Source organism: Homo sapiens, chromosome 19 (genome assembly GCF_000001405.40).
Source record: "Homo sapiens chromosome 19, GRCh38.p14 Primary Assembly".
Lineage (NCBI taxonomy): Eukaryota > Metazoa > Chordata > Mammalia > Primates > Hominidae > Homo > Homo sapiens.
Window position 1 is genome coordinate 7,130,638 of NC_000019.10, and position 27,079 is coordinate 7,157,716.

General features: G+C 46.5%; 1 protein-coding gene across 4 annotated transcripts in view; it reads right to left on the reverse strand.

Annotated features, from left to right (window-relative positions):
- Window positions 1-27,079, reverse strand: part of INSR (insulin receptor) — a 182,150-nt gene that overhangs the window by 18,373 nt on the left and 136,698 nt on the right. For 2 of the 4 annotated variants that reach the window (XM_011527988.3, NM_000208.4), the window contains exons 10-14: window positions 22,089-22,290; window positions 19,860-19,895; window positions 12,179-12,453; window positions 11,040-11,179; window positions 1,521-1,680 (exon numbers count right to left, since the gene is read on the reverse strand). In XM_011527988.3, the coding sequence (XP_011526290.2) occupies window positions 1,521-1,680; window positions 11,040-11,179; window positions 12,179-12,453; window positions 19,860-19,895; window positions 22,089-22,290 (813 nt within the window). The remainder of the gene's footprint in view (window positions 1-1,520; window positions 1,681-11,039; window positions 11,180-12,178; window positions 12,454-19,859; window positions 19,896-22,088; window positions 22,291-27,079) is intronic. The other 2 variants (XM_011527989.4, NM_001079817.3) reach the window with 1 other exon arrangement.

Here is a 27,079-nt window from a genome sequence, read left to right on the forward strand (position 1 = left end):
GAAAGTTTCTTGAGGCTTCCTCAGAAGCTGAGCAGATGCCAGCATCATGGTTCCTGTACTGCCTGCAGAACTGGGAGCCAATTAAACCTCTTTTCTTTATAAATTACTGAGTCCCAGTCTCAGACCTCTTCCTCTTCCTCTCTCTCTTCTCTTCTTTCTTTTTCTTTCTTTTATCTCTCTTTTTCTCTCTTTCTTTCCTTTTCTTTCTTTTTCTTTTTCTTCTCTCTCTCTTTCACTCTTTCTTTCTTTTTTATTTTTTGAGACAGAGTCTCACTCTGTCACCCAGGCTGGAGTGCAGTGGCGTGATGTCGGCTCACTGCAACCTCCGCCTCCCGGGTTCAAGTGATTCTCCTGCCTCAGCCTCCTGAGTAGCTGGGACTGCGGGTGCACACCACTATGCCCAGCTAATTTTTGTATTTTTGGGTAGAGATGGGGTTTCACCATGTTGGTCAGGCTGGTCTCGAACTCCTGACCTCAAGTGATCCGCCCACCTCGGCCTCCCAAAGTGCTGGGATTACAGGTGTGAGCCACTGTGCCCGGCCAGGTATTTCTTTATTGCAGTGTAAGTACAGACTAACACAGGTGCCTACTTGAGAGTGGTGGGTGAGAAGAGGGAAAGGATCAAAAAACGACCTATCAGGTACTATGCTGATTACATGGGTGACAAAATTATCTGTACAGCAAACCCCCAACAACACCCAATTTACTTATTTTATTTTATTTTTTGAGACAGAGTCTCACTGTGTTGCCCAGGCTGGAGTGCAGTGGCACGATCTCGGTTCACTGCAAGCTCTGCTTCCCGGGTTCCTGAGGCTCCTGCCTCAGCCTCCTGAGTAGCTGGGACTACAGGCGCCCGCCACCATGCCTGGCTAATTTATTTTTGTATTTTTAGTAGAGATGGGGTTTCACCATGTTGGCCAGGATGGTCTCGATCTCCTGACCTTGTGATCTGCCCGCCTCGGCCTCCCAAAGTGCTGGGATTACAGGTGTGAGCCACCGTGCCCAGCCACAATTTACTTATATAATGAACTGCACAGGTACCTCTGAAACTTTTTTTTTTTTTTTTAAGTGCAGGATCAGGCCAGGCATGGTGGCTCATGCCTGTAATTCCAGCACTTTGGGAGGCCGAGGCGGGTGGATCACTTGAGGTCAGGAGTTTGAGACCAGCCTGGCCAACATGGTGAAATGCCATCTCTACTAAAAATACAAGAATTAGCCGGGCGTGGTGGTGGGCACCTGTAGTCCCAGCTACTGTGAGGCTGAGGTGGGAGAATCACTTGAACCCGGGAGGCGGAGGCTACAGTGAGCTGAGATTGTGCCAGTGCACTCCAAAGCAAGCCTCCATCTCAAAAAAAAAAAAAGTGCAGGATCAAAGAGGGCAAGCACCGCAGCAGCTGATAGGCCTGAGAGTCAAGGCCAGGGCCAGCACCTGCGGCCTCTCCAAGTCATCCCCTGCAATGTCCCACCATGCTCAGTGCTAAGCACAGCCCCAGTCAGCTGAGGCTGCCATGGAGACTTACAATAGTCTGTCACGTAGAAATAGGTGGGTTCCGTCCAAGAGCCGTTGCCCGCAAGGGAGGTGGCCCGGATTCGCACGCTGTAGTTCCCCGGTGACAGCCCACGCAGCCTGCAGCCCCGTTCCAGAGCGAAGTGCTTGCGGGAGACGCAGAGATGCAGCTCCTGGGAGGAAGAGAGGAGGAGAAGGAGGGTGGCTGAGCTTTGCACATCTGGGAGTGTCCACCCCTCGCAGGGAGCTCACAGCCAGGATCCTGCTCAGAAATGACGCCAAGGCAGCAAAGCACAGACTAAGACACATAAGCGACTTTGAGAATTGCAGAATTTTATAACCATAGTGCTATGGATAAAGATATATGCAGAGGTTATCATTATCGGTAAGAGCCAGACTTCCTAAGCCAGAAGCTGAGCATTAAACCCTGATGGTTTCTTTTCTTTTCCTTTTTTTTTTTTTTCCAGACGGAGTTTCACTCTTGTTGCCCAGGCTGGAGCGCAATGGCTTAATCTCGGCTCACTGCAACCTCTGCCTCCCGGGTTCAAGTGATTCTCCTGCCTCAGCCTCCCGAGTAGCTGGGATTACAGGCGCTCACCACCGCGCCTGCCTAATTTTGTATTTTCAGTAAAGACAGGGTTTTACCATGTTGGCCAGGCTGGTCTCAAACTCCTGACCTCAAGTGATCCGCCCACCTCGGCCTCCCAAAGTGCTGAGATTACAGGCGTGAGCCACAGCTCCCAGCCCTATTATCTATTTTCTATTAATATTAATTTCCATAATATTATCTTTCTAAAAATCATTTGTTTTATTTTTAATTGACAACAGTATTATAGGTCAGGCACAGTGGCTCGTGCCTGTAATCCCAGCCCTATGGGAGGCCGTGAAGGGAGGATTGCTGGAGCCCAGGAGTTAGAGACCAACCTGGGCAACATAGCCAGACCCCATTTCCACAGAAAATAGAACAATTAGCCGGGCACGATGGTTCGCACCTGTAGTCCCAGCTACTCAGGAGGCTAAGGCGGAAGAATCACTTGAGCCCAGGAGGTCAAGGGTGCAGTGAGCTATGAAGGCTCCACCGTACTCCAGCCTGGGTGACAGAGCTAGACCCTGTCTCTAAAATAAATAAACAAAAATAAAAATAATAGTTGTGTACACGTATGGGGTACAGTGTAAAGTTATGTTACAGTATAAATTGTGGAATGATTAAAACAAGCTAATTAAATCCTCATCACTTCATGTACTTATTTCTTTGTTGTGAGAACATTTAAAATCTATTCTTCTAGCCATTTTGCAATATGTGTTATTAGCTATAGTCACCATTCATCTACAGAGCAGTGGATTCCTAGAACGTATTCCTCCCATCTGAAACTTTGCACCCTTTGGTTCACGTCTCTCCTTGTTTTTCCTTTAATCATTTTAAAATGCAAAAGTGGGCAGGGCGTGGTGGCTCATGCCTGTAATCCCAATACTTTGGGAGGCCGAGGTGGGCGGATCACCTGAGGTCAGGAGTTCGAGACCAGCCTGGTCAAGATGGTGAAACCCCCACCTCTACCCAAAATACAAAAATTAGCTGGGCATGGCGGCACACGCCTGTAATCCCAGCTACTTGGAGGGTGAGACAGGAGAATTACTTGAACCCAGGAGGTGGAGGTTGCAGTGAGCCAAGATTGTGCCACTGCACTCCAGCCTGGGTGACAGAGCAAGACTCCATCTCAAAAATAAATACATAAATAAATAAAATGCAAAAGTGACTCCTAGCTCACAAATCATTAGAAATCAGGCAGCAGGCCACATTTAGCCTATGGGATATAGCTTACTGACTGACCCCTGGTTTAAGAGATTATATGGTTTGTCCGAGATCTCATAGCTGCAAAGTGGCAGGGCCAGCTCTTGAACTCAGAACTGTCTGGCTCTACAGCTACTTGGGAGGCTGAGGCAGGAGAATGGCGTGAACCCGGGAGGCGGAGCTTGTAGTGAGCCGAGATCGCGCCACTTAAGTCCAGCCTGGGTGACAGAGCAAGACTCCATCTCAAAAAAAATAAATAAATAAAAAGAAAGAAACTAAAAAAAGAGAACTGTCTGGCTCTAGAACTTCTCCTTAAGACCACTGCAGAATATTTTTGCCATGTATCCAGCAAAATTAGAAAAGAGTGGAAATGAAGGATCTGCAGGGCCTATGCCAGATTTCCTGCCTTTCCCTGCAACTCCCAGCCTCTGTCACATCAGAACCAAATGGATAAATGTGCTTAATGTCTAAGGACAAATAAAAAAGCTCTTTCTTTGCCACGGTGCTGCCTTTCGATTTTTTTTTTTTTAATCATTATAAAAACAGTTGAAGCCCGGGCACGGTGGCTCATGCCTGTAATTCCAGCACTTTCAGGGGCCAAGGCGGGCAGATCACGAGGTCAAGAGATTGAGACCATCCTTGCCAACATGGTGAAACCCCGTCTCCACTAAAAATACAAAAATTAGCCAGTTGTGGTGGTGTGCGCCTGTAATCCCAGCTACTCGAGAGGCTGAGGCAGGAGAATCACTTGAACCCGGGAGGCAGAGTTTGTAGTGAGTCGAGATCGTGACACTGCACTCCAGCCTGGGCAACAGAGCAAGACTGTCTCAAAAAGAAAAAGAAAATGTGGTATACTTTGCCTCAAAAATAAACACATAAAATAAAATAATAAATAAATAAATAAAACAGTTGGGATCCACCCAAATGGAGATTTGCAAAGTGGGAAACATACCCTGTGATAAGCACGTAACTAGAGATAATTCCAGAACTTATGAGAAGAGACAGGAGGCTCTTGGGAATAAGACCATGAAACCTGCAAGCATCGAGCCCAAAACTCTGAAAAGTTTTCGACACAGTTCCAAGCTAATAGTGCATGCAGAGAACCGGGCTGGAACATTTAGGAGGGGGGTGGAGAGTGGAGAAGAGAAAGAAATGTTAAAAAAAAAAAAAAAAAAAAAGCCAACAACCCCATGCTTATCGTGTGACAATAACAGCAAGAAAACAAATCAGTCTGGTGGCAGGGGTGGGGGCAGGGAACTCCAGTCCAAAGTTTCTTCCAAGTGGAATGAGTCACCGAGTAGAGAGGGACAAATAAGCAAATATAGAAACCCAAGGTAGCTGCTATCCAGGACAAAGGGGAAATGCATCTTCTTTTTTTTTTTTTTTTTTTTTTTTTTTGGAGACGGAGTTTCGCTCTTGTCACCCAGGCTGGAGTGCAGTGGCATGATCTTGGCTCACTGCGACCTCCGCCTCCCGAGTTCAAGCGATTCTCCTGCCTCAGCCTCCTGAGTAACTGGGATTATAGGCGTGTGCCACAAAGCGAGACTCCAGCCTGGGCAACAAAGCAAGACTCTGTTTGAAAAAAAAAAAAAAATTATCTGGGCATGGTGGCGGATGGCGGGCCTGGGTGACACACCATGACTCTGTCTCTGAAAAAAAAAATTTTTTTAACGGGAGATACTGAAAATGCAATTAAATAGCTAGAGGTGGCTTTGTTTATGAAACTAGCAAAAGAAAAAAAAAATACCTTCCACCAGCTGGGCACGGTGGTTCACGCCTATAATCCCAGCACTTTGGAAGGCCGAGGCGGGCAGATCACGAGGTCAGGAGTTTGAGACCAGCCTGACCAACATGGTGAAACCTCGTCTCTACTAAAAGACAAAAATTAGCCGGGCGAGGTCGTGGGTTCCTGTAGTCCCAGATACTCAAGAGGCTGAGGGAGGAGAATCACTTGAACCCAGGAAGCGGAGGTTGCAGTGAGCCAAGATCGTACCAATGCACCGTAGCCTGGGCTACAGAGATAGACTCCATCTCAAAAAAAAAAAAGAAAGAATGAAAGAAATGCCAAACTCTTTCCTAAAGCAGCTGTGCCATTTTATGTTCCCACCAGCAATGTATGAGGGTTCCGATTTCTCCTCATCCTCACCGACACTTGTTATTGTCCGTCTGTTTGTTTTTTGCCACGCTCGTGGGCATGAAGTGGTATTGCATCGTGGTCTTGATTTGCATTTTTGTCATGGCTAATTTGGGGCTGAGTTTTGTGTTTTGCCCTGGTACCAGGCTGGGGTTGAGAGTGGGAGGTGAGAGCCACTCAAGGGTGAGGAGCAGATTCCAGAGGAAGTTCGGGGCATTGTTGACAGCAAGAATACAGATTCTGCAGAGTGAACAATGCCCGTTTCCACTGCAGACCCTCCTTGATTTTTTTTCTGCTTCTGTGTCCAACTTGTCCCCATTTGCCCAGAACTTTCTGAGTGTGGACATTGAAAATCTCACATCCCAGGGAGCCCTCAGTCCTGGCTAAACCTAGACAACTGGTCACCCTGTTGGCACTGGATTTAACTCGAATCCTAACTTCTCCTAGCTTCTTCCCATGCCTTTGACTGGCCCGTGTCTCCTGTTCCTGGGACCCAAGGGTCACTATTAGGAATTCCCATCACGAATCCCCAACAGCCTCTGCCCCACACAGCACAACCCCAATCCCACCCAGACCAACTGTGTTCACCCTAGAGAGAAGCAGAGATGGGGGAGAAAATGAAAGGAGAATGTGAGGTTACAGTCACCTTCTTAAGAACCTTTTCATAGACACATTTCTGTTATTGCCAACAATGTCCTTAATTACCTAGCATTGCTTTGATCAAGAAAAAAAGTGATGTAAAACTTTATTTATTTATTTACATATATATATATATATATATTGAGATGGTGTCTCACTCTGTCACCCAGGCTGGAGTGCAGTGGTGTGATCTCGGAATCACTGCAACCTCTGCCTCCCGGGTTCAAGTGATTCTCTTGTCTTAGCCTCCCGAGTAGTTGGGATTACAGGCGTGCACCACCACGCCCGGCTAATTTTTGTATTTTTAGTAGATACGAAGTTTCACCATGCTGGCCAGGCTGGTCTTGAACCCTGACCTCAGGTGATCCACCCACCATGGCCTCTGAAGGTACTAGGATTACAGGCGTGAGCCACTGCTCCTGGCCTAAAACTTTATTTTTATGTGCACAATTTATACTGTTGGAGTGTAATTTTACTCCATTTACAAAATTCTCTCTAGCATGTGGTGGGAGTGAATATTATGGTATGTAAGTTACAGCTCAATAAAGCTGTTTCTAAATTAAAAAAAAAAAAAAAATCCCTCATGCCCAAGCCAATCAGCATACAGCATTCCTCTGGTCACATGATTGGGCACTGGATGTCACATGACCTCAGTCTAGCTGGGAATGCTGGGATGCACTCTGTCTTCCTCTGGGTTTGGCACTGCAAAGAAATGAGGTTTGGAACCACTACAACCACCGGTGGACAACCAGGGGCTACTGGGCTCACTGCCAGGAGCCGTTAAGATGCAACTGACCCAGGCTAGGCATGGTGGCTCACGCCTGTAATCCCAGCACTTTGGGATGCCAAGGTGGGTGGATTACCTGAGGTTAAGAGCTCGAGACCAGCCAGGCCAACATGGTGAAACCTCGTCTCCATTAAAAATACAAATATTAGCTGGGTGTGGTCGTGGGTGCCTGTAATCCCAGCTACTCAGGAGGCTGAGGCAGGAGAATCGCTTAAACAGGGAGGCAGAGGTTGCAGTGAGCTGAGACTGCACCACTGCACTCCAGCCCGGATGACAGGATGACAGAGTGAGTGAGACTCCATCTCAAAAAAAAAAAAAAAAAAAAAAAAAAGATGCAACCGACCCAAAGGAATCCTGGATCCAGCCATGTGAGAAGCTCTTCAGTTGTTCAACTCTGGGAGCTAAGAAGCTTTTCCTCTATCATAAGCTAGTCTGGATACAGGGGGATTCCTTTTTCTTCTTTTTTCTTTTTCTTTTTTTTTTTTTTTGAGATGGAGTCTCACTCTGTCGCCCAGGCTGGAGTGCAGTGGCGTGATCTCGGCTCACTGCAAGCTCCACCTCCTGGGTTCACGCCATTCTCCTGCCTCAGCCTCCCAAGTAGTTGGGACTACAGGCGCCCGCCACCATGCCCGGCTAATTTTTTTGTATTTTTAGTAGAGACGGGGTTTCACCGTGTTAGCCAGGATGGTCTCGATCTCCTGACCTCATGATCCACCCGCCTCAGCCTCCCAAAGTGCTGGGATTACAGGCGTGAGCCACTGCACCCAGCAGATACAGGGGGATTCTTAACTGCTGGGGGATAACAACACAAACGAACTAAACTCCAGAGCATGTAATTTTAACTTCTACATTACACTGAACAAAGGTCATCCCAAACATTTTATCTTATTTTTTTGGAGACAGAGTCTTCTTGCTCTGTCACCCAGTCTGCAGTGTAGTGAGTGAGTCACAGCCCACTATAACCTGGAGCTCCTGAGCTCAAGCAATTCTCTCCTCAGCCTCCCAAGTAGATGGGACTACAGGCATAGACCACCACACCTAGCTAATTTTGAAATTTTTTTTTTGCAGAGATGGGGTCTGGCTGTGTTGCCCAGGCTCAAACTCCTGGCCTCAAGCAATCCTCCCACCTCAGCTTCCTGAGTCACTGGAATTACAGGCATGAGCCACCATGCTTGGCCCCCAAACATCATTTTCAATGGCTCTTCATCCACCAATTCTATGGATGCACCGTCTTCCATGTGTCCATTCTCCAATGGATGGACATCTTAGTGGTTTGCATATTTTGCTACTGATGAAAATCTTATGCATAGAGCTTTGTTCCCTGCCCCAAATTTGAATTATTTCCTTAGGACCTACAGGATTAATACATATAGGATAATATATTAATAAACTTTGCAATTATGGCCCCCAGGGAATCATGACTTTCTGTGTCTATGAGACTCTGGAAGCCTCAGTATCCAGCTCACTGAGATACTCAGAGGATGTATTGTACTTCCTCATTCTGGGCTTAGCCATGGGCTCACTTTGCCAAAGGGACACTAGCAAATGTGATGCAAACAGAGTCCTAAGAAGTGTTTGTATATGGGGCATGTCCTTCCTTGCCTGGGCTAGCTCACTGGGCAGTGAGAGAACACATGAGGACAAAGCTCCAAGTGCCCCCAGCTGAGGCCCCAGCCATGTGAATGAGGCCATCCAGCCCCAGCCAAACTGGCCCAGGACAAAGGAATCACCCAGTGAACCTGCAGAATTGAGAGAAAGAATAAATGTCCTTTGTTTTAAACCAGTACCTTTGGGGGCAGTTTGTTACGCAGCAAGAACTGACTGAAACAATAACTAAAGCTGTCAATCCAAAAAGCTAAAATGGTTTCCAGATAAAATTAGTATTACCTAACATGGTAAAAACCAGAGGCAATCCAAATCCCCAAAAATAAATGATACCCCAATCATGAGATTAAATTCTATCTAGCAACTACAAATCATAATTCCAAAGGCTATTGTGGACAGAGACATCAAAAGGCAGAGGAAAGTAACTCATGAATATGGATTAGAGGCATATGCACGTTTCTGCCAATTAAAAACTAGCTGAGCTCTGTATGATAAGGAATTTTATTTTAAAAATGAATATTAAAAAAGGCAAATCAAGCCATTCATTTAGCAATTTTATTTTAAAAATGAATGTTAAAAAAGGCAAATCAAGCCATTCATTTAGCAAACAGGGCCCCAAAATAGGCCCAGAATGACAAGTTCAGTAAGGACACTTTCTATTTTTGAAAGTTTACTTTTTCTGTGAAGCTGTGAAGGGCCACATATAGTCTCTGTTGCGTATTCTTTTTTTTTTTTTTTTTTTTGAGACAGAGTCTTGTTCTGTCGCCCAGGCTGGAGTGCAGTGGCACGATCTTGGCTCACTGCAACCTTTGCGTCCCGGGTTCAAGCAATTCTCCCTGCTTCAGCATCCCGAGGAGCAGCTGGGATTATAGGCGCCCACCATTACGTCCAGCTAATTTCTGTATTTTTAGCAGAGACGGAGTTTCGCCATGTTGGCCAGGCTGGTCTTGAACTCCTGACCTCAACCCTGTTGCACATTCTTTACAATGCTCTGCAAGCCAGATTTGGCCCACAAGCCACAATAATTTAGAATTAGATCTCAATTGTAAATTATTGTCAAAGCCAAAATCTTTGGTTGCCAAGAGTAGATGTGGTCCCAGGAGGGGTAGAGGGAGGTCCACCTGGTTATAGGAGGACTCCCTCTCAAAGTTCCAGGAAATCAGACATTTTGCTGTAATCTCTGTTAGTTGTTGGCAAACTCTGGCCCACCAACTAAACCTGGTCCACCACGTGTTTTTGTAAATAAAGTTTTATTGGTACACAACCACATCCATTCATTTACATATCACCCATGGCAGCTTTCTCAGTAGAATGGTGGAATTGAGTAGTTGTAACAGAAATCATCTGGCCACGGAGTCAAACATGTTTACTATCCAGACCTTTATGGTAAAAAAAATTTGGCAGTTTCTGGATTGAAATATCAGTCATGCATTTGGATCATGATTCTATTCTTCCAGGTTTTGTGCAGCAACTTAAACTCTGGAAGCCTCAGTACCCAGCTCACTGGGATAATGTGAGGACGTATTGTACTTCCTCAGTCCCAAGAGGTATATTATTTTTGCATTTTGGCATTTCTGAAATTGGAATGCATCTTACAAGCAATGCATTTTACAAACACTTAACAGTACTCAGGATCTATATTCTACGAAAAAAATAAAATTAGAATTAACGGCCCTTTTTTTTTTTTTGCCTAGCTGTCCATAAAAATAATGGGGCCTCTCAAAATTTCCTAGAGGTAATAAAATGTGATCAATGAGATACTCTGTGTAACGTGCTGAATGTGTTTGGGACATACAGTGAGCCCTGGGAAGAGCTTAGCAACTGTTTGGGTTCTTTTGGGTTATTTGTCTTGGATTCTATGTCTTGTGCATCTCTGCACTCACCCAGCACCTTGCATGGTGTCTGGCTCAATGGAAGCATCTAATGAAAGTAACTTATAAGGTTTTTGTTGTTGCTGTTTTTGAGACAGAGTCTCACTCTGTCACCCAGGCTGGAGCGCAATGGTGCAATCTCTGCTCACTGCAACCTCCACCTCCTGGCTTCAAGTGATTCTCCTGCCTCAGCTTCCCACCTTGGCCTCCTGAGTAGCTGGGATTACAGGCACCCACCACCACGCCTGGCTAATTTTTGTATTTTTGTAGAGATGGGGTTTCACCATGTTGGCCAGGCTGGTCTCAAACTCCTGGCCTCAAGTGATCTGCCTGCCTCGGCCTCCCAAAGTGCTTGGATTACAGGTGTGAGCCACTGTACCCAGCAATTTATAAGGTTTTAAGACTCAAATAACTCCTTCTAAAGTGAAATGAGTCTCCTGTTGTGGTGGGAGGCAGACATCATTCAACTTAGAGGACACAGCTGGAAAGCAATGTGAGAAACTAAGAAAAGTAACAAGCTGGTAGATTGGCATTTCTGACCCATCTTCCTGCGAAGTCAGGTATCAAGGCTTTAAGTACTAATAGCACAGTACCTGATGAGAGAAGCACTGGAATCAAAATTTCAGCAGAGGAAGGAGGTACCAAGTGCAACTCTGAAGGGGCATGCTGAAGTGTGCAGGGGCATGCCCAAGAGTCAAGGGCCTTACCTCATCACCATATCGCCGATAACTCACTTCATACAGCACGATCAGACCATTGGGCTCCTTCGGCTCCTGCCACATCAAGTGGACGACGTTGTTCTCAAAGATTTCATGCGTCACAGGGCCAACAATGTCATCAGCCTTGGCTGTAAGGAGAGGAAGTGAGAGGCAGGGATGTAACTCTTGGATGAGATCCCACTTCTGCCACCTGTCCATGGTGCAACCTTGGGCTGGTGACGTCATTTTCCCACAACCCATTTTCCTCGTCAGAGAACGGACATCTAAAACTCATCCCACAAGATTGTTAGGAAGATTAAATGGGTTACTTTCTGCGTATAACTTTTTTTTTTTTTTGAGACAGAGTCTTGCTCTGTCACCCAGGCGGGAGTGCAGTGGTGTATTTTCTAAAGTTTACATAATGATTGCCTATGACTCATAATTTTAAAATATGACCTGGCATGGTGGCTCATGCCTGTAATCCCAGCACTTTGGGAGCTCAAGGTTGGCGGACCACTTGAGCTCAGGCATTGGAGACCAGCCTGGGCAACATGGTGGAACCATCTCTACTGAAAATACAGGTGTGGTGGCACACGCATGTAGTCCCAGCTACTCAGGAGGCTGAGGCAGGAGAATTGCTTGAACCAGGGAGGCGGAGATTGCAGTGAGCCAAGATTGCGCCATTGTACTCCAGCCTGGGCGACAGAGCAAGACTTCATCTCAAAAAAAAAAAAAAAAAAAAAAAAGGCCAGGTTCGGTGCTCATGCCTGTAATCCCAGCACTTTGAGAGGCCGATGTGGGTGGATCACTTGAGCCCAGGAGTTCAAGACCAGCCTGGGCAATATGGTGAAACCCCATCTCTACTAAAAATACAAAAATTAGCTGGGCGTGGTGGCAGACACCTGTAGTCCCAGCTACTTGGGAGGCTGAAGCAGGGAATCACTTGACATAGGTGGCAGAGGCTGGAGTGAGCTGAGGTCGCACCACTGTACTCCAGCCTGGGCGACAGAGCAAGGCTCCGTCTCAAACAAAAATGAAGGCCAATAAGGTAAAATACAGATATGCACTGCTTAGAGGGTGGAGAATCTGTCCTTGGTCAGCCTTGATGTCCCACCCATGACACTCGGACCCCGGAGCAGCAGCCCTACCTTCAGGCATGGTCCTCGCACTGACGTAGGCTGCCACACTGCACCGTTCCTCAGGGGTGTCCTGGTTGCAAGCCTGCAGCTCGATGCGATAGCCCGTGAAGTGTCGCAAGCCGGAGATGACCAGCGACTCCTTGTTCACCACCTTCTCAAAAGGCCTGTGCTCCTCCGGACTCGTGGGCACGCTGGTCGAGGAAGTGTTGGGGAAAGCTGCCACCGTGGGCACGGCCACCGTCACATTCCCAACATCGCCAAGGGACCTGCGTTTCCGAGATGGCCTGGAACGACAGTAGGACATGTATGATGACACCATCACCATCATTTTTTTTAAAAAAGTGACACTGGAGAATAAAAGGCTTGATTAAGAAGAAAGATCAGAGCGCAGGAGGGTGCAGCAATGGGGAACATGGATTACAATACAGACTGCCAGGAATGACCACTCAGAGCAGCTTTCAATATACCCTTGTGAGCATCTGAAGGATTAGAGCAGGCCCACCTCGTGAGGGATGAGTGCTTCTAAGACCGTCAATGGTAGACACACACCGATATTCCCCTCGACATGCTCGATTTCAGGTTTTTCATTTTGCAGATAAATAGGCCAGCCAGGGTCAGTGACAAAAATAAGACACCAAAAGCACGTAAGAGTCTAGCTTTTCAGGAAGCCCTGCCAAATGGCATTTGCTCATTGGCCCAAGCTACTGATCGACATCATCAGTTTAAATAGGAAAAAATACATCTTTTCCTTCTTATTGCTGCTTAGGGCACCTGTATAATTTGAGTGATTAAGCTGCAATTCTTAGAAAAGGAATCACATCACTCAGGTCAGGAAGATTAACTCCAAGAAACATCTATGCAATTGGCACACTTCTCCCCATCCCTTAAGAAGACATATTAAACAACAAAGGTTGATAGCTAACAAATTTTAAAATACAAAGAAAAAAGGATAAAGAAGAAAATGTAGGCTGGGCGAGGTGGCTCATGCCTATAATCCCAGTACTTTGGGAGGCCAAGGCGGGCAGATAACCTGAGGTTAGGAGTTCAAGACCAGTCTGGCCAACATGGGGAAACCCCGTCTCTACTAAAAATACAAAAATTAGCCGAGCCTGATGGTGCACAGCTTTAATCCCAGCTACTCAGGAGGCTGAGGCAAGAGAATTGCTTGAACCCGGGAGGCGGAGGTTGCAGTGAGCTGAGATCGTGTCACTGCACTCCAGCCTGGGCGACAGAGTGAGACTCTGTCTCAAAAAAAAAAAAAAGAAAAGAAAATATAAATCACTCATAAATCCACAGCCCACTGCTTCCTTTGGACAATTTTTTCCCTGTAAATATTATGTGTGAACATGATGAGGATCAAGCCTGTTTTATAAGTAAACTTTGTCTACTTATTATATTGGAAGCATTTACTAAATATTTTCCTTTCAACATAACATTTTAGGAGAGAATTTTGGGACTTTTCCTTTTTAATATTAGGGTTTTCCTCCATCATCTACAAAAGTAGCATGTGTTCCCTGCAGAAAACTTGGAAAACGATGAATGACTGTAAAATATTCCATTTGCTACGTGAGTCGTCACTCACTTAACCATCCTCCTTATTTATTTATTTATTTTGAGACAGAGTTTCACTCTTGTCGCCCAGGCTGGAGTGCGACGGCGTGATCTTGGCTCACTGCAACCTCCGCCTCCTGAGTTCATGCGATTCTCCTGCCTCAGCCTCCTGAGTAGCTGGGATTACAGGAGTCCGCCACCATGCCCAGCTAATTTTTGTATTTTTAGTAGAGACGGAGTTTCGCCATGTTGGCCAGGCTGGTCTCAAACTCCTGACCTCAGGTGATCTGCCCACCTCAGCCTCCCAAAGTGCCAGGATTACAGGCATGAGCCACCGCACATGGCTCTTTTTTTTTTTTTTTGCTGTTATAAATATTCCTTTGATCATTGTCTGATTGTCTTATTACTTCCCCAAAGTAGATTCCTAGAGGAAAATATTACTAGGTTCAGGGAGATAAGAAACTCTTTAAGCTTCTTAATACCTACAGCTAAATGGTTGTCCAGAAACTCTATATTGACTTGTGGTTGCACCAGCAGGCCATGAGACTGCATTCCAGGACAATCTCAGCAACCCCTAAGCCTTAATAGTTTTTTTTTTTCTTTCTATGTTTGTTTGTCTAGATCTTTAACCCAAGAGATTAAAAATATGCTATCACTCGACTACGTTATTTGCGGATCTTTATATTACTGAGTGTGACTTCATTTTTCCTTTATTGGTTCTCTGTGATTCTCCAAAGAATTGTCCCCTCCTTGTCTTTTGTCTGTTTTTCCATGAATTTCTTGTGTTTTCCTTACTCCTGTGTTGTTTATTCATTAAGGATATTAACCTTTTATGTATCGTGCTATACAACTTACTCTTTTCCATTTGCCAGTAAGCTTTCTTTAAATGATTTGAAACAGGCTTTCATGTTTATTTGTACAATTTAATATATCAGTAACACTTTAAAACGTGTTCCTTTATAAGTCATTCTAGATGGGGTTATTATGAGTTGTGCTAAGGTTTTACGGCAATTTTGAAAGGGATCTTTTCCCTTATTTTATATTCTAATTATTGCTTGTGTATCTACAGTCTTTTTGCTTATTTCTATGTACCTACTTTCCCAAACTCTAACTCATTTAAAAAGTTTCATAATTGGCTTTCCTGGGTTTTCAATGACACACTAGAAGAGGGGTCAACAAAATTTTCCCGTAAAGGGCTAGATAATAAATATTTTGGGTTTTGCAAGCCAAATGACCTCTGTCACAACTACTCTGTCATTGTAGCTTAAAGCAGCCCTACATGATGTGTAAACAAGTGGGTGGGGTTGCATTCCAATAAGAGTTCATTTACAAAAACAGGCAGCTAGCCCATGGGCCATAGTTTGCCTACCCTTGAGCTAGACGCTCTGCAAATAGCAATGACTTTATTTCCCACATTCCATTCTTTACAACTCTGATTTCTGTTTCTTGTCTTATTACATTGGCTGGATGCCCAGAGAAATGTTAATTAGTAATGATGAGATGGGGCTTCCTTGTTTTGTTCCTAACTCTGCTAAGAATAATTTTAAGAATGATGTTAGCTTGGCTGTTGGTTTAACCTAGGTAATATTTATCTTGTAGAAGAAATATTCTATTATGAGTTTTATGAAGCCTCTTTTTTTCCTCCCCTTTCTCTAAGTTAGGAATTTTAAATTAAGGTTATTGAAACAGATATGATCTTCCTTATTGCACCTCTTGATGAACTAGATGATGTTATCAAATCTTCTGATCTTAAACCATCCTTGCATTTTGGAGATAAACAATATTGCCAGTGCAGTGTTTTATTTGGGACATTTGAATCTAACATCACATATTAGCTTGGCCTGTGGCTTTTGTTCAGTGCAGTATCTTTGTCAAGTTCTTTTTTTTTTTTTTTTTTTTTTGAGACAGAGTTTTGCTCTGTTGCCAGGCTGGAGTGTGCAATGGCGCAACCTCGGTTCACTGCAACCTCTGCCTCCCAGGTTCAAGCGATTCTCCTGGCTCAGCCTCCCAAGTAGCTGGGATTACAGGCGTGTGCCACCATGTCTGGCTAATTTTTGTATTGTTAGTAGAGACAGTGTTTCACCATGTTGACCAGAATGTTCTCAATCTCTTGACCTTGTGATCCGCCCCCCACCTCAGCCTCCCAAAGTACTGGGATTACAGGCATGAGCCACCATGCTCAACCTCTTTGTCAAGTTCTTTAAGGGTGTTATGTTCATTTCATAAAATGAACTGGGATAACTTTTATAGATTTCTGTGCCCTAAAATAGTTTTTCTATTATAGGAAATAGTTGCTCTCTCACAATTTGAAAGAACGTGTCTATAAAACTCTCTGGGCCAAGGGACTTTTTTGAGGAAATTATTTGACACATATCTTTTTCCAAGGTTCATAACCACTTAATTTTTCTGCTTCTTTTTGAATCCATTTAGACAAGTTAAATTTTCCCACCTTACTGAAACTTTCAAATTTAGCAAGTGCACCATTGTCCAAAGAACTTAACACATTAAAATTTTCTTCAGACGCTAGTTTTATGTCATCTTCTTTCCTTCTGGTTTGTGTTTTCCCTTTGATTATGTTTACCATAGGCTTAGCTGTTATTGCTTTTCCCTTCCTAACACATTTATAGTTTTATAGTTTAAAGTTTATTTCTTAATTTATCAATCCATTTAAGTCTGCTAAGTAACATCAAAGCCAAGCTTTGACAATATTCTACAAGTTAAGGTATGTGATATTCACATTTTCATTATTTTCCAAAAGGACTTCAATGGAAGTTTCCATTTCTGCTTTGGCCCGATAGATATGTAAGTGTTTAACTTTTTAACTTTTTTTTTTTTTAGACAGAGTCTCGCTCTGTTGCCCAGGCTGGAGGGCAGTGGCGTGATCTCGGCTCACTGCAACCTCCACCTCCCAGGTTCAAGTGATTCTTCTGCCTCAGTCTCCTGAGTAGCTGGGACTACAGGCGCACGTTACCACATCTGGCTAATTTTTGTATTTTTAGTAGAGAAGGGGTTTCACCATATTGGCCAGGCTGGTCTCAAACTCCTGACCTCAGGTGATCCGCCTGCCTGGGCCTCCCAAAGTGCTGCGATTACAGGTGTGAGTCACTGCGCCCAGCCTGTAAGTGTTTAACTTTTAACCACCAAGAAGTGAAGTTTTCTGTTTAATCTTTTGAAATTAACTTTTAGTTTCTATTGCAGCGTCATCAGAAAATGTGTGGTCAGAAAACAAATCCTACTTTGGGGGCATTTCTTAAGATTCTCTTTATGGTCTTTTTGTATTAAAAGACTAACAACATTGTAGAATGGAAAAGAAAACAGCTCCACCACTTATCAAGCCAAAGATATGTCCGTATTAGCAAGATTCAGATAATTTCTATACAGGCACAAATGGGTCTCGTGAAAATAACCAAGACGTTGGTGCTTCATGAGTAACTACTGAGAAATTGGTATCTCAACAACCAGAGATGTAAAATGGGCTCATCAAACAGGCCAAATGAGTTTATATACCAAAAAGATTATAACCAAAAAGACCATGAAGTGGCAAAAGACAAAGCATCAACTGATTTTTTTTTTTGAGACAGAGTCTTGCTCTGTTGCCCAGGCTGGAGTGCAGTGGTGTGATCTTGGCTCACTGTAACTTCCAATTTCTGGGTTCAAGCGATTCTCCTGCCTCAGCCTCCCAAGTAGCTGGGATTACAGGCGTGCATCATCATGCCCGGCTAATTTTTGTATTTTTAGTAGAGACGGGGTTTCGCCATGTTGCCCAGGCTGGTTTCAAACTCTTGACCTCAGGTGATCTGCCTGCCTGGGCCTCCCAAAGTGCTGGGATTACAGGCATCAGGCATGAGCCACAGCACCTGGCCTAGGCAGCATTTTATTATCCAGCAATCCCACACTAACCTGGTCATCTCAACCAAGGGTCCTTCTGACCCCATCACCCAGGGGGATATTTAGCAATGTCTGAAGATATTTTTGGTTATTACTACTTTAGGGGGAAGACACACTACTGGCATCAGATGAGTGGAAGCCAGGGATGCTTCTCAGTGTTGTTGGACAGTGCCCTAGAATAATCTGACCCCAAATATTATTTATTATTATTATTAGTATTATGTATTTATTCTTTTTTTTTTTTTTTTTTGAGACAGAGTCTCGCTCTGTCACCCAGGCTGGAATGCAGTGGCGAGATCTCGGCTCACCGCAACCTCCGCCTCCAGAAATCAAGTGATTCTCCTGCCTCGGCCTCCCAAGTAGCTGGGACTACAGGCGTGTGTCACCATGCCCGGCTAATTTTTATATTTCTTGTAGTAACGGGGTTTCACCATCTTGGTCAGGCTGGTCTCGAACTCCTGGCCTCAAGTGATTGCCCCGCCTGGGCCTCTCAAAGTGTTGGGATTACAGGCGTGAGCTACCAAGTCCAGCTGTGGCCCCAAATATTATTTTATTTTTATTTTTTTTGAGACGGAGTCTCGCTCTGTGGCCCAGGCTGGAGTGCAGTGGCACGATCTTGGCTCACTGCAAGCTCCGCGTCCCAGGTTCACGCCATTCTCCTGCCTCAGCCTCCCGAGTAGCTGGGACTACAGGCGTGTGTCACCACGCCCGGCTAATTTTTATGTTTCTTGTAGTAACGGGGTTTCACCATCTTGGTCAGGCTGGTCTCGAACTCCTGGCCTCAAGTGATTGCCCCGCCTGGGGTAGCTGCGTCACCACGCCCAGCTAATTTCTTGTATTTTTAGTAGTGACGGGGTTTCACCGTGTTAGCCAGGATGGTCTCGATCTTCTGATCTCATGATCCGCCCGCCTCGGCCTCCCAAAGTGCTGGGATTACAGGCGTGAGCCACCCGAATATTATTAATAGCAGGACTGAGATTGAGATCTGCTTTGGACCAAGCCCGTACATTTTTAGACCCTTCTTGGCTACAGTTAGTATTGCAAATGGCCACTAGAGGGCAGATCAGGCCACACAGGTGCCTGGGAAAAAATAAATAAATAAACACTCTGCTAAAGGAAGAAAATCTCTCCAAGTGGTCCCAACTTGCCTCTTTAGTCTCACCTCCTGTTCCTCCCAAAAGCCACGACAGGTAAACATCTCCTTGCCTTTCTCCCAAGTTCTCCAAGCTTTTTCTCTCTCCCAGGACCATACTGCTTCATTCTCTTAAGACTCAAGTTGAAAAGAAACGTCCCTGGCCAGGGGCGGTGGCTCACGCCTGTAATTCCAGCACTTTGGGAGGCCGAGGCGGGCGGATCGCCTGAGGTCGGGAGATCGAGACCAGCCTGACCAACATGGAGAAACCCTGTCTCTACTAAAAGTACAAAAATTAGCCGGGCGTGGTGGCGCATGCCTGTAATCCCAGCTACTCAGGAGGCTGAGGCAGGAGAATTGCTTGAACCCGGGAGGTGGAGGTTGTGGAGAGCCGAGATCGCACCACTGCACTCTAGCCTGGGCAACAAGAGTGAAATTCCATCCAAAAAAAAAAGAAGAAGGAAAGAAGGAAGGGAGGGAGGGACGGACGGAGGGAGAGAGGGAGGGAATAAAGAAAAGAAAAGAAAGAAGGAAAGAAAGAAAGAAGGAAAAAAAGAAAGAAGGAAGGAAGGAAGGAAGGAAGGAAGGAAGGAAGGAAGGAAGGAAGGAAGAGATCCCTGACTCTCCTCCGTGGAATTCAGTGAGCGACACGGTGTTCTTTTGTTCATACCCTGTCGCCCTTTCATGAAAATATTCTGTTTCCAGATCAACCTCCATTCATGGTGTAGGAGCTGCTGGGTCGGGGCACCCAGCCGCGGGGAGCTCAGACTCCGGGGACCCCCACCCACCTCTGCAAATGCACGCGGGAGGTGCAGAGATGTTTAGTGAGCAAACAGTGGCTGCAAACAGAAGGCAGGGAGGGGGTACCCAGGAAGCACTCCCATGATTCTATGTTTTAGCAAGAGTGTGTTAGTGAAGGTTTCTCCCCACATTCATGCCCAGATTTCATTTCAGAGTGAAGGCATTGGATTTCTGAATTGGTGAAGCATCTGCTCTCCAGCACAGCTGCCCGCCGCATGCAAAAAGCCACAGAAACCCCTGGGTTCTCCGAGGCATCTGCCTGGCACGCCGCCGGCCCTGCGCGGAGCAGGCACCAGGGGTCGCACAGGTGAGTCATACCTAGGGTCCTCGGCACCAGTGCCTGAAGAGGTTTTTCTGTGGAAACAAAACCAACGCCTTTGAGGACAGAGGGAACTTCATTAGACAGACCACTGGGCTCTGACACTTGGAGGCCACATGTGTCCGAGTAAGGGCACCCTGGCTTTGACCCTGGACCACTCGCTCCCATCACTTGCTAGACGGAGTGAGCTACATCTTCCCCAGCAGGTGCAGGGGTCCAGCAAGGGAAGGGGAAGAAATCAGAGAAAATTCTCCCCAGAGACGGCCTGCTGAGGTGGCCCTGGGATGTCAAACGTGACTACATGTGGACATCACAACTGACTCAGCCACTTCTCCAAGTCTGGCAGAATTTTTCTTTTCTTTCCCTTCTTTCTTCTTTCTCTCTCTCTTTCTGGTTTCTTTCCTCTTTCTCCTTTTCTTTTCTCTTTCTCTTTTCTCTCTCCCTCTCTCTCCTTCCTTCCTTCTTTCCTCTTTTACTTTCTTTCTCTCTTTTTCCCTCTTTCCTTCCTTCATTTGCTTTCTTTCTCTTTCCTTCCTTCTTTTTTTCATTTTCTTTCTCTTTCTTTTCTTTCTTTTCCTTTTTTCCTTCCTTCCTTCCCTCCTCTCTCCCTCCCTTGCCCCCTTCCTTTCTCTGTCCTTTCTTTCTCTCTTTCCTTTCTTTCTTTCTCTTTCTTTCTTTCTTTCTTTCTTTCTTTCTTTCTTTCTTTCTTTCTTTTTCTTTCTCTCTTCCTTCCTTCCTCTTTCCCTCCCTCCCTCCATTCCTTTCTTTCTTTCTTTTTTTCCCTTCCTTCCTTTTTGAGACAGGGTCTTGCTCTGTTGCCCAGGCTGGAGTGCAATGGTGCCATCATAGCTCACAGCAGCCTCCAACTCCTGTGCTCCAGCAATTCTCCCGCCTCAGCCTCCGGAGTAGCTGGGACTACAAGGCATGCACCAACATGTCTGGCTATTTTTTTTTTTTTTTTCCTTTTTTAGTAGAGATAGGGTCTCACTCTGTTGCTCAGGCTGGTCTCCACCTTTGGCCTCAACTGATTCTCCCACTTCGGCCTCCCAAAGTGCTGGGATTACACGAGTGAGCCACTGTGCCTAGCCAACATTTTGTTTGTAACAGGTGAAACAGTAACCACTTTGAAGCCTTGGCTGTCCCCCTGAACATTCTTTTGGACTCAGGGTCATAGGGGAAACATGCAACAAAAAAAGAAAAAGAAAAGAAAAAAAAAAAAGAGGATTCTTACACACTGGTGGTTCTGGGAGAAAAGTCTGCTCGGATGAATAGCATTGGTAAACATCTGAACAGATACTTTTAATTTTTTTTTAGAGACAGGGTCTCACTCTGTCACCCAGGCTGGAGCGCAGTGGCGCCATCATCGCTTATCGTAGCCTCCATCTCCTGGCCTCTTGTGATCCTTCTTTCTCAGCCTCCCCATGGGCTAGGAGTTCAGACATGCATTACCATGCCTGACTAATTTTTAAACTGTTTTTTTTTTTTTTTGGTAGCGATGGGGTCTCATTATGTTGCCCAGGCTGGCCTCAAGCAACCCTACCACCTCGGCTTCCCAACTAGCTGGGACCACAGGCTTACACCACTGCGCTCAGCTAAAGCCTCAATAATCACGGCCAGGCACGGTGGCTCACACCTATAATCCCAGCACTCTGGGAGGCCGAGGCAGGCAGATCACCTGAGGTCAGGGGTTAGAGACCAGCCTAGCCAACATGGCAAAACCCCGTCTCTACTAAAAATATAAAAATTAGCTGGGCGTGGTGCTGCGCACCTGTAGTCCCAGCTACTTGGGAGGCTGAGGCACAAGAATCACTCGAACCCGGAAAGGGTGAGCTGAAATCGCACCACCGCACTCCAGCCTGGACGATAGAGTGAGACTCTGTCAAAAAAAAAAAAAAAAGAGAGAGAGAGAAAAAAAAAAATGTTAATCGTCTAACGGAGTTTGTTTTGGAACTCACGTGGAGACCAGCTCAGGAGAGGTAAGAAAGGCAAATGCTGAGTTTTGTCCATTTTTCCCCTTTTGTGCGATTATTTGCTCTTCCTGATAAAATTCCCCTCGAAATTTCGAAACTGCAAGATCTCTTCCTCCACCCAGGAAAGGGCTCCATTCAGACTCCACCCACCCTTCTGCCGTCTCTGGGTCCCACTACCTCTCGGTCCCTAAGTAATGACCTTCCACCAACACCAAGCCAATTGGCACCCACTAAGAGAGCCCAGCGCCAAGTCCTGACCTGGGGACGAAAACCACGTTGTGCAGGTAATCCTCAAACGTCTTCCTAAACGAGGACTCCTCCAGCTCCTTCAGGATCTGAGAGTCTGTCTTTGGACAGGAGCAGCATTCGCCGGCCGAATCCTCATACTCACTCTGGTTGTGCTTCTGAGAATCTTCAGACTCGAATGGTGGAGACCAGGTCCTCGAGGGCAGCTTCAGCCCTGGAGAAAGAAACAGAAAAGGGGGGCTCAAGTCTCTGCGGCTGAACACACATACACACACACACACACCCCACACACACACACACCACACACACACACCACACACACACACACCACACACCCCCCCACACACACACACCACACACATCACACAACACACCACACATACACACACCACAAACACACAACCACACACACACACCACACACCACACACACCACACAACACACCACACATACACACACCACAAACACACAACCACACACACACCACACACACCACACACCACACACACGCACCACACACACACCATACACGCACCACACACACACTACATGCACACCTCACACACCACACCACACACCGCACACACACCACACAAATCACACACACACCACACACACCCACGCCACACACCACAGACCACACACCACACACCCCACACACACCATACACGCACCACACACACACCACATACACACTTCACACACACCACACACCACACAAATCACACACACCACCACACCCACGCCACACACCACACACACACCACACACGCACCACACACACACACAGTGAAGGGGGCCTTCTCAGAGAGGCTGAGCTGAGACAGAGCCTAGATTTGAGCTCCGCTTTGGAAAAAAGCCAGACACTATGGTTCACGCCTGTGGTCCCAGCTACTTGGGAGGCTCAGGTGAGAGGATCGCTTGAGCCCAGGAGTTCGAGGCTGCAGTGAGCTATGATTGCACCCCTACACTTCAGCCTGGGTGACAGAGTAGAACCCTGTCTCAAAAGATTAAAAATATAGCCGAGCACAGTGGCTCACACCCTTAATCCTGGCACTTTCGGAGGCCGAGGTGTGAGGATCACGTGAGCCCAGGAGTTCAAGACCAGCCTGGGCAATGTGGTGAAACCCTGTCTCTACTAAAAATAAAGTAAAATAACCAATAAAAATAGGCCAGGCAGCTCACACCTGTAATCCCAGCACTTTGGGAGGCTGAGGTAGGCAGACCACCTGAGGTCAGGAGTTCGAGACCAGCCTGGCCAACATGGTGAAACCCCGTCTTTACTAAAAATACAAAAATTAGCCAGGTGTAGTGGCGCATGCCTGTAATCCCAGCTACTCAGGAGGTCGAGGCAGGAGAATCGCTTGAACCTGGGAGGTGGAGGTTGCAGTGAGCTGAGATGGCACCACTGCACTCCAGCCTGGGTGACAGAGCGAGACTCCGTCTCAAAAAAATAATAAATAAATAAATAAAATATCTGTATCTAGAGTGTCATCTGAGAAGTGCATGTCAACATGTTTTATTAGTTTAGTGCATAAGTAATTGCAGCTTTTGCTATTAAAAGTAATGGCAAAAAACCACAATTACTTTTTTTTTTTTTTTTTTTTGAGATGGAGTCTCGTTCTGTTACCCAGGCTGGAGTGCAGTGGCGCGATCTTGGCTCACTGCAAGCTCCACCGCTTGGGTTCATGGCATTCTCCTGCCTCAGCCTCCTGAGTAGCTGGGACTACAGGCGGCCGCTGCCACGCCCGGCTAATTTGTTGTATTTTTAGTAGAGATGGGGTTTCATTGTGTTAGCCAGGATGGTCTCGATCTCCTGACCTCGTGATCTGCCCGCCTTGGCCTCCCAAAGTGCTGGGATTACAGGCGTGAGCCACTGCACCCGGCCCACAATTACTTTTGCACCAACCTAATAGAAACTGCCAGGTGGCTGGGCGCGGTGGCTCACTCCTGTAATCCCAGCACTTTGGGAGGCCGAGGCGGGCAGATCACCTGAGGTCAGGAGGTCCGGACCATCCTAGCCAACATGGCGAAACCCCGTCTCTACTCAAAATACAAAAGTTAGCCGGGCGTGGTGGTGGGTGCCTGTAATCCCAGCTACTCAGGAGGCTGAGGCAGGAGGATTGTTTGAACCCGGGAAGCAGAGGTTGCAGTGAGCCGAGATTGAGCCATTGCACTCCAGCCTAGGCGACAACAGCGAGACTCTGTCTCAAAAAAAGGCAACAACTGCCCGACACCATAATCACAGGACTGAAGATTATAAGGTAACCAGACAATGCTTCTGTCTTCAGTGGACTTACAGTCTACAATAAACTCATAAATACACAGTCACAGGTCAGATGTTGGGGTAAAAGAACAGTGGGTGTCTGCGGGTGCCATTTTCATGAAGGGGTCTCAAAGAAAGTCACCACTGAGACATCCTGAATTCAGCAAAGGAAAGCACCATCCACATATCGTGGTGTAAAGCAATTCAGACATAGCAGAAACCCAGCAGAAAGGCCCCAGGACAGGAATTTTCTTGGCACATTAAAAAACGTCTGGCCAGGCGTGGTGGCCCTCTCCTGTAATCCCAGCACTTTGGGAAGCCGAGGCAGGAGGATCACTTGAGGTCAGGAGTTCGAGACCAGCCTGGCCAACATATAGTGAAACGCTGTCTCTACTAAAAAATCCAAAAATCAGCTGCACGTGGTGGCACATGCCTGTAGTCCCAGCTACTTGGGAGGCTGAGGCAGGAGAATCACTTGAACCTGGAAGGCGGAGGTTGCATTGAGCCAAGATTGCGCCACTGCACTCCAGCCTGGGTGACAGAGGAAGCATTCCATCTCTCAAAAAAAAAAAAAAAAATCTCTGGAAACCAATATAGCTGGAAGGGGGTGAGAGAGAGAATGGTGGGAGGGGGTTAGAAAAAGATAAAGGGGGCCAGGTACAGTGGCTCTTGCCTGTAATACCAGAACTTTGGGAGGCTGAGGGGGAAGGATCACTTGAGCCCAGGAGTTCAAGATAAGCCTGGCCAACAAGATGAAACTCCGTCTCTACCAAAAAATACAAAAATTAGCCAGGCATGGTGGTGTGCGCCTGTAATCCCAGCTACTCAGGAGGCTGAGGTAGGAGGATTGCTTGAGCCTGGGAAGTCGAGGCTGCAGTGAGCTGAGATGGGGCCACTGCACTCCAGCCTGGGCAACAGAGTGAAATCATGTTGAAGAAGAAGAAAAAGAAAGAAGAAGGAGAAGAAGGAGGAGGAGAAGGAGCCAGGTCACAGCTGCATGAAAATATCAATCAATCAATTAATCAACCACACAAATAAGATGGGAGGGCAGAGTAGAATGCCATATGGAATTCTTTTTTTTTTTTTTTTTTTTTTTTTTTTGAGACAGTCTTGCTCTGTCGCCCAGGCTGGAGTGCAGTGGCGTGATCTTGGCTCACTGCAGCCTCCGCCTCCTGGATTCAAGTGAGTCTCCTGCCTCAGCCTCTCAAGTAGCTGGGATTACAGGCGCCTGCCACCACCCTGGCTAATGTTTTGTATTTTTAGCAGAGACAGAGTTTCATCATGTTGGCCAGGCTGGTCTGGAACTCCTGACCTCATGTGATCTGCCCACCTCGGCCTCCCAAAGTGCTGGAATTACAGGCCTGGGTCACCACACTGGGCCTCCACATGGAATTCTAAGGGGTCCATTCATGAGTCCAGAAATCAGACTTGATCAGTGAATGGTTCTCACCCAGGGGGTGATTTTGTCTCCTACTAGGGACATTGGGCAACATCTGGAGATATTTTTAGGTGTCAGGACCTGGCTGGGGCGTCCTCCTGGAGCATGGAATGGGTGAAGACCAGAGATGCTGCTGAGCACCCTGAAGTGCTCGGGACAGTCCCACCCCAGAGAATGATCCAACGCCAGACAGAAAAAACACCAAGACAGAGAAACCCTGACCTAAAGGCATGAGAGGAGATAGAGGAAGGAACTTTTCAAACATGCATAGAAAAGGGAATTTAAAAATTAATAAATGAAGAAGAACACCAGTAGCTTATAAAGGTAGCAGTCCTAAAAATACAAAATACAATACTATTTCTCTCTTTTTTTTTTTTTTTTTTTTTTTTGAGATGGGGTCTTGCTCTGTCGCCCAGGCTGCAGTGCAGTGGCGCAATCTTGGCTCACTGCAACCTCTGCCTCCTGGGTTCAAGCGATTCTCCTGTCTCAGCTCCACTCCCCGTAACTGGGATTACAGGCATGCACCATCACACCTGGCTAATTTTTTGTTTGTTTGTTTGTTTTTTGTTTTTGTTTTTTTGGGATGGAGTCTCGCTCTTGTTGCCCAGGCCGGACTGCAGTGGCGCTATCTCGGCTCACTGCAAGCTCTGCCTCCCGGGTTCACGCCATTCTCCTGCCTCAGCCTCCCAAGTAGCTGGGACTACAGGCGTGCACCACCATGCCCGGCTAATTTTGTATTTTTAGTAGAGACGGGGTTTGGCCATGTTGGCCAGGCTGGTCTGAACTCCTGACCTCAGGTGGTCCACCCGCCTCAGCCTCCCAAAGTGCTGGGATTATAGGCTTGAGCCACTGCGCCTGGCATTTTTTTTGTATTTTTATTAGAGACGGGGTTTTGCCATGTTGGCCAGGCTGGTCTTGATCTCCCGACCTCAGGTGATCCACCCGCCTTGGCCTCCCAAAGTGCTGGGATTACAGGCGTGAGCCACTGCGCCCAGCCGATTTTTGTATTTTTTTTTTTTTTTTTTGGTAGAGACAGAGTTTTGCTGTGTTGGCCAGGCTGATCTCAAACTCCTGAGCTCGAACGATCTGCCCGCCTTGGCCTCCCAAAGTGCTGGGATTACAGGCATGAGCCATCGCACCCAGCCTACAATACTTAAGTACCGCAGCTGGTCATGTCTTAAGCCCCGAAGTCAAATCCCAGGGTTCTTGTGACCCACGGTGCAAGCACAGTTATGCCTCTGGTACAGCCACTGAGATGGACGGACACAGCTCTTTACAAGCAAAATCTGCAACAGTCCC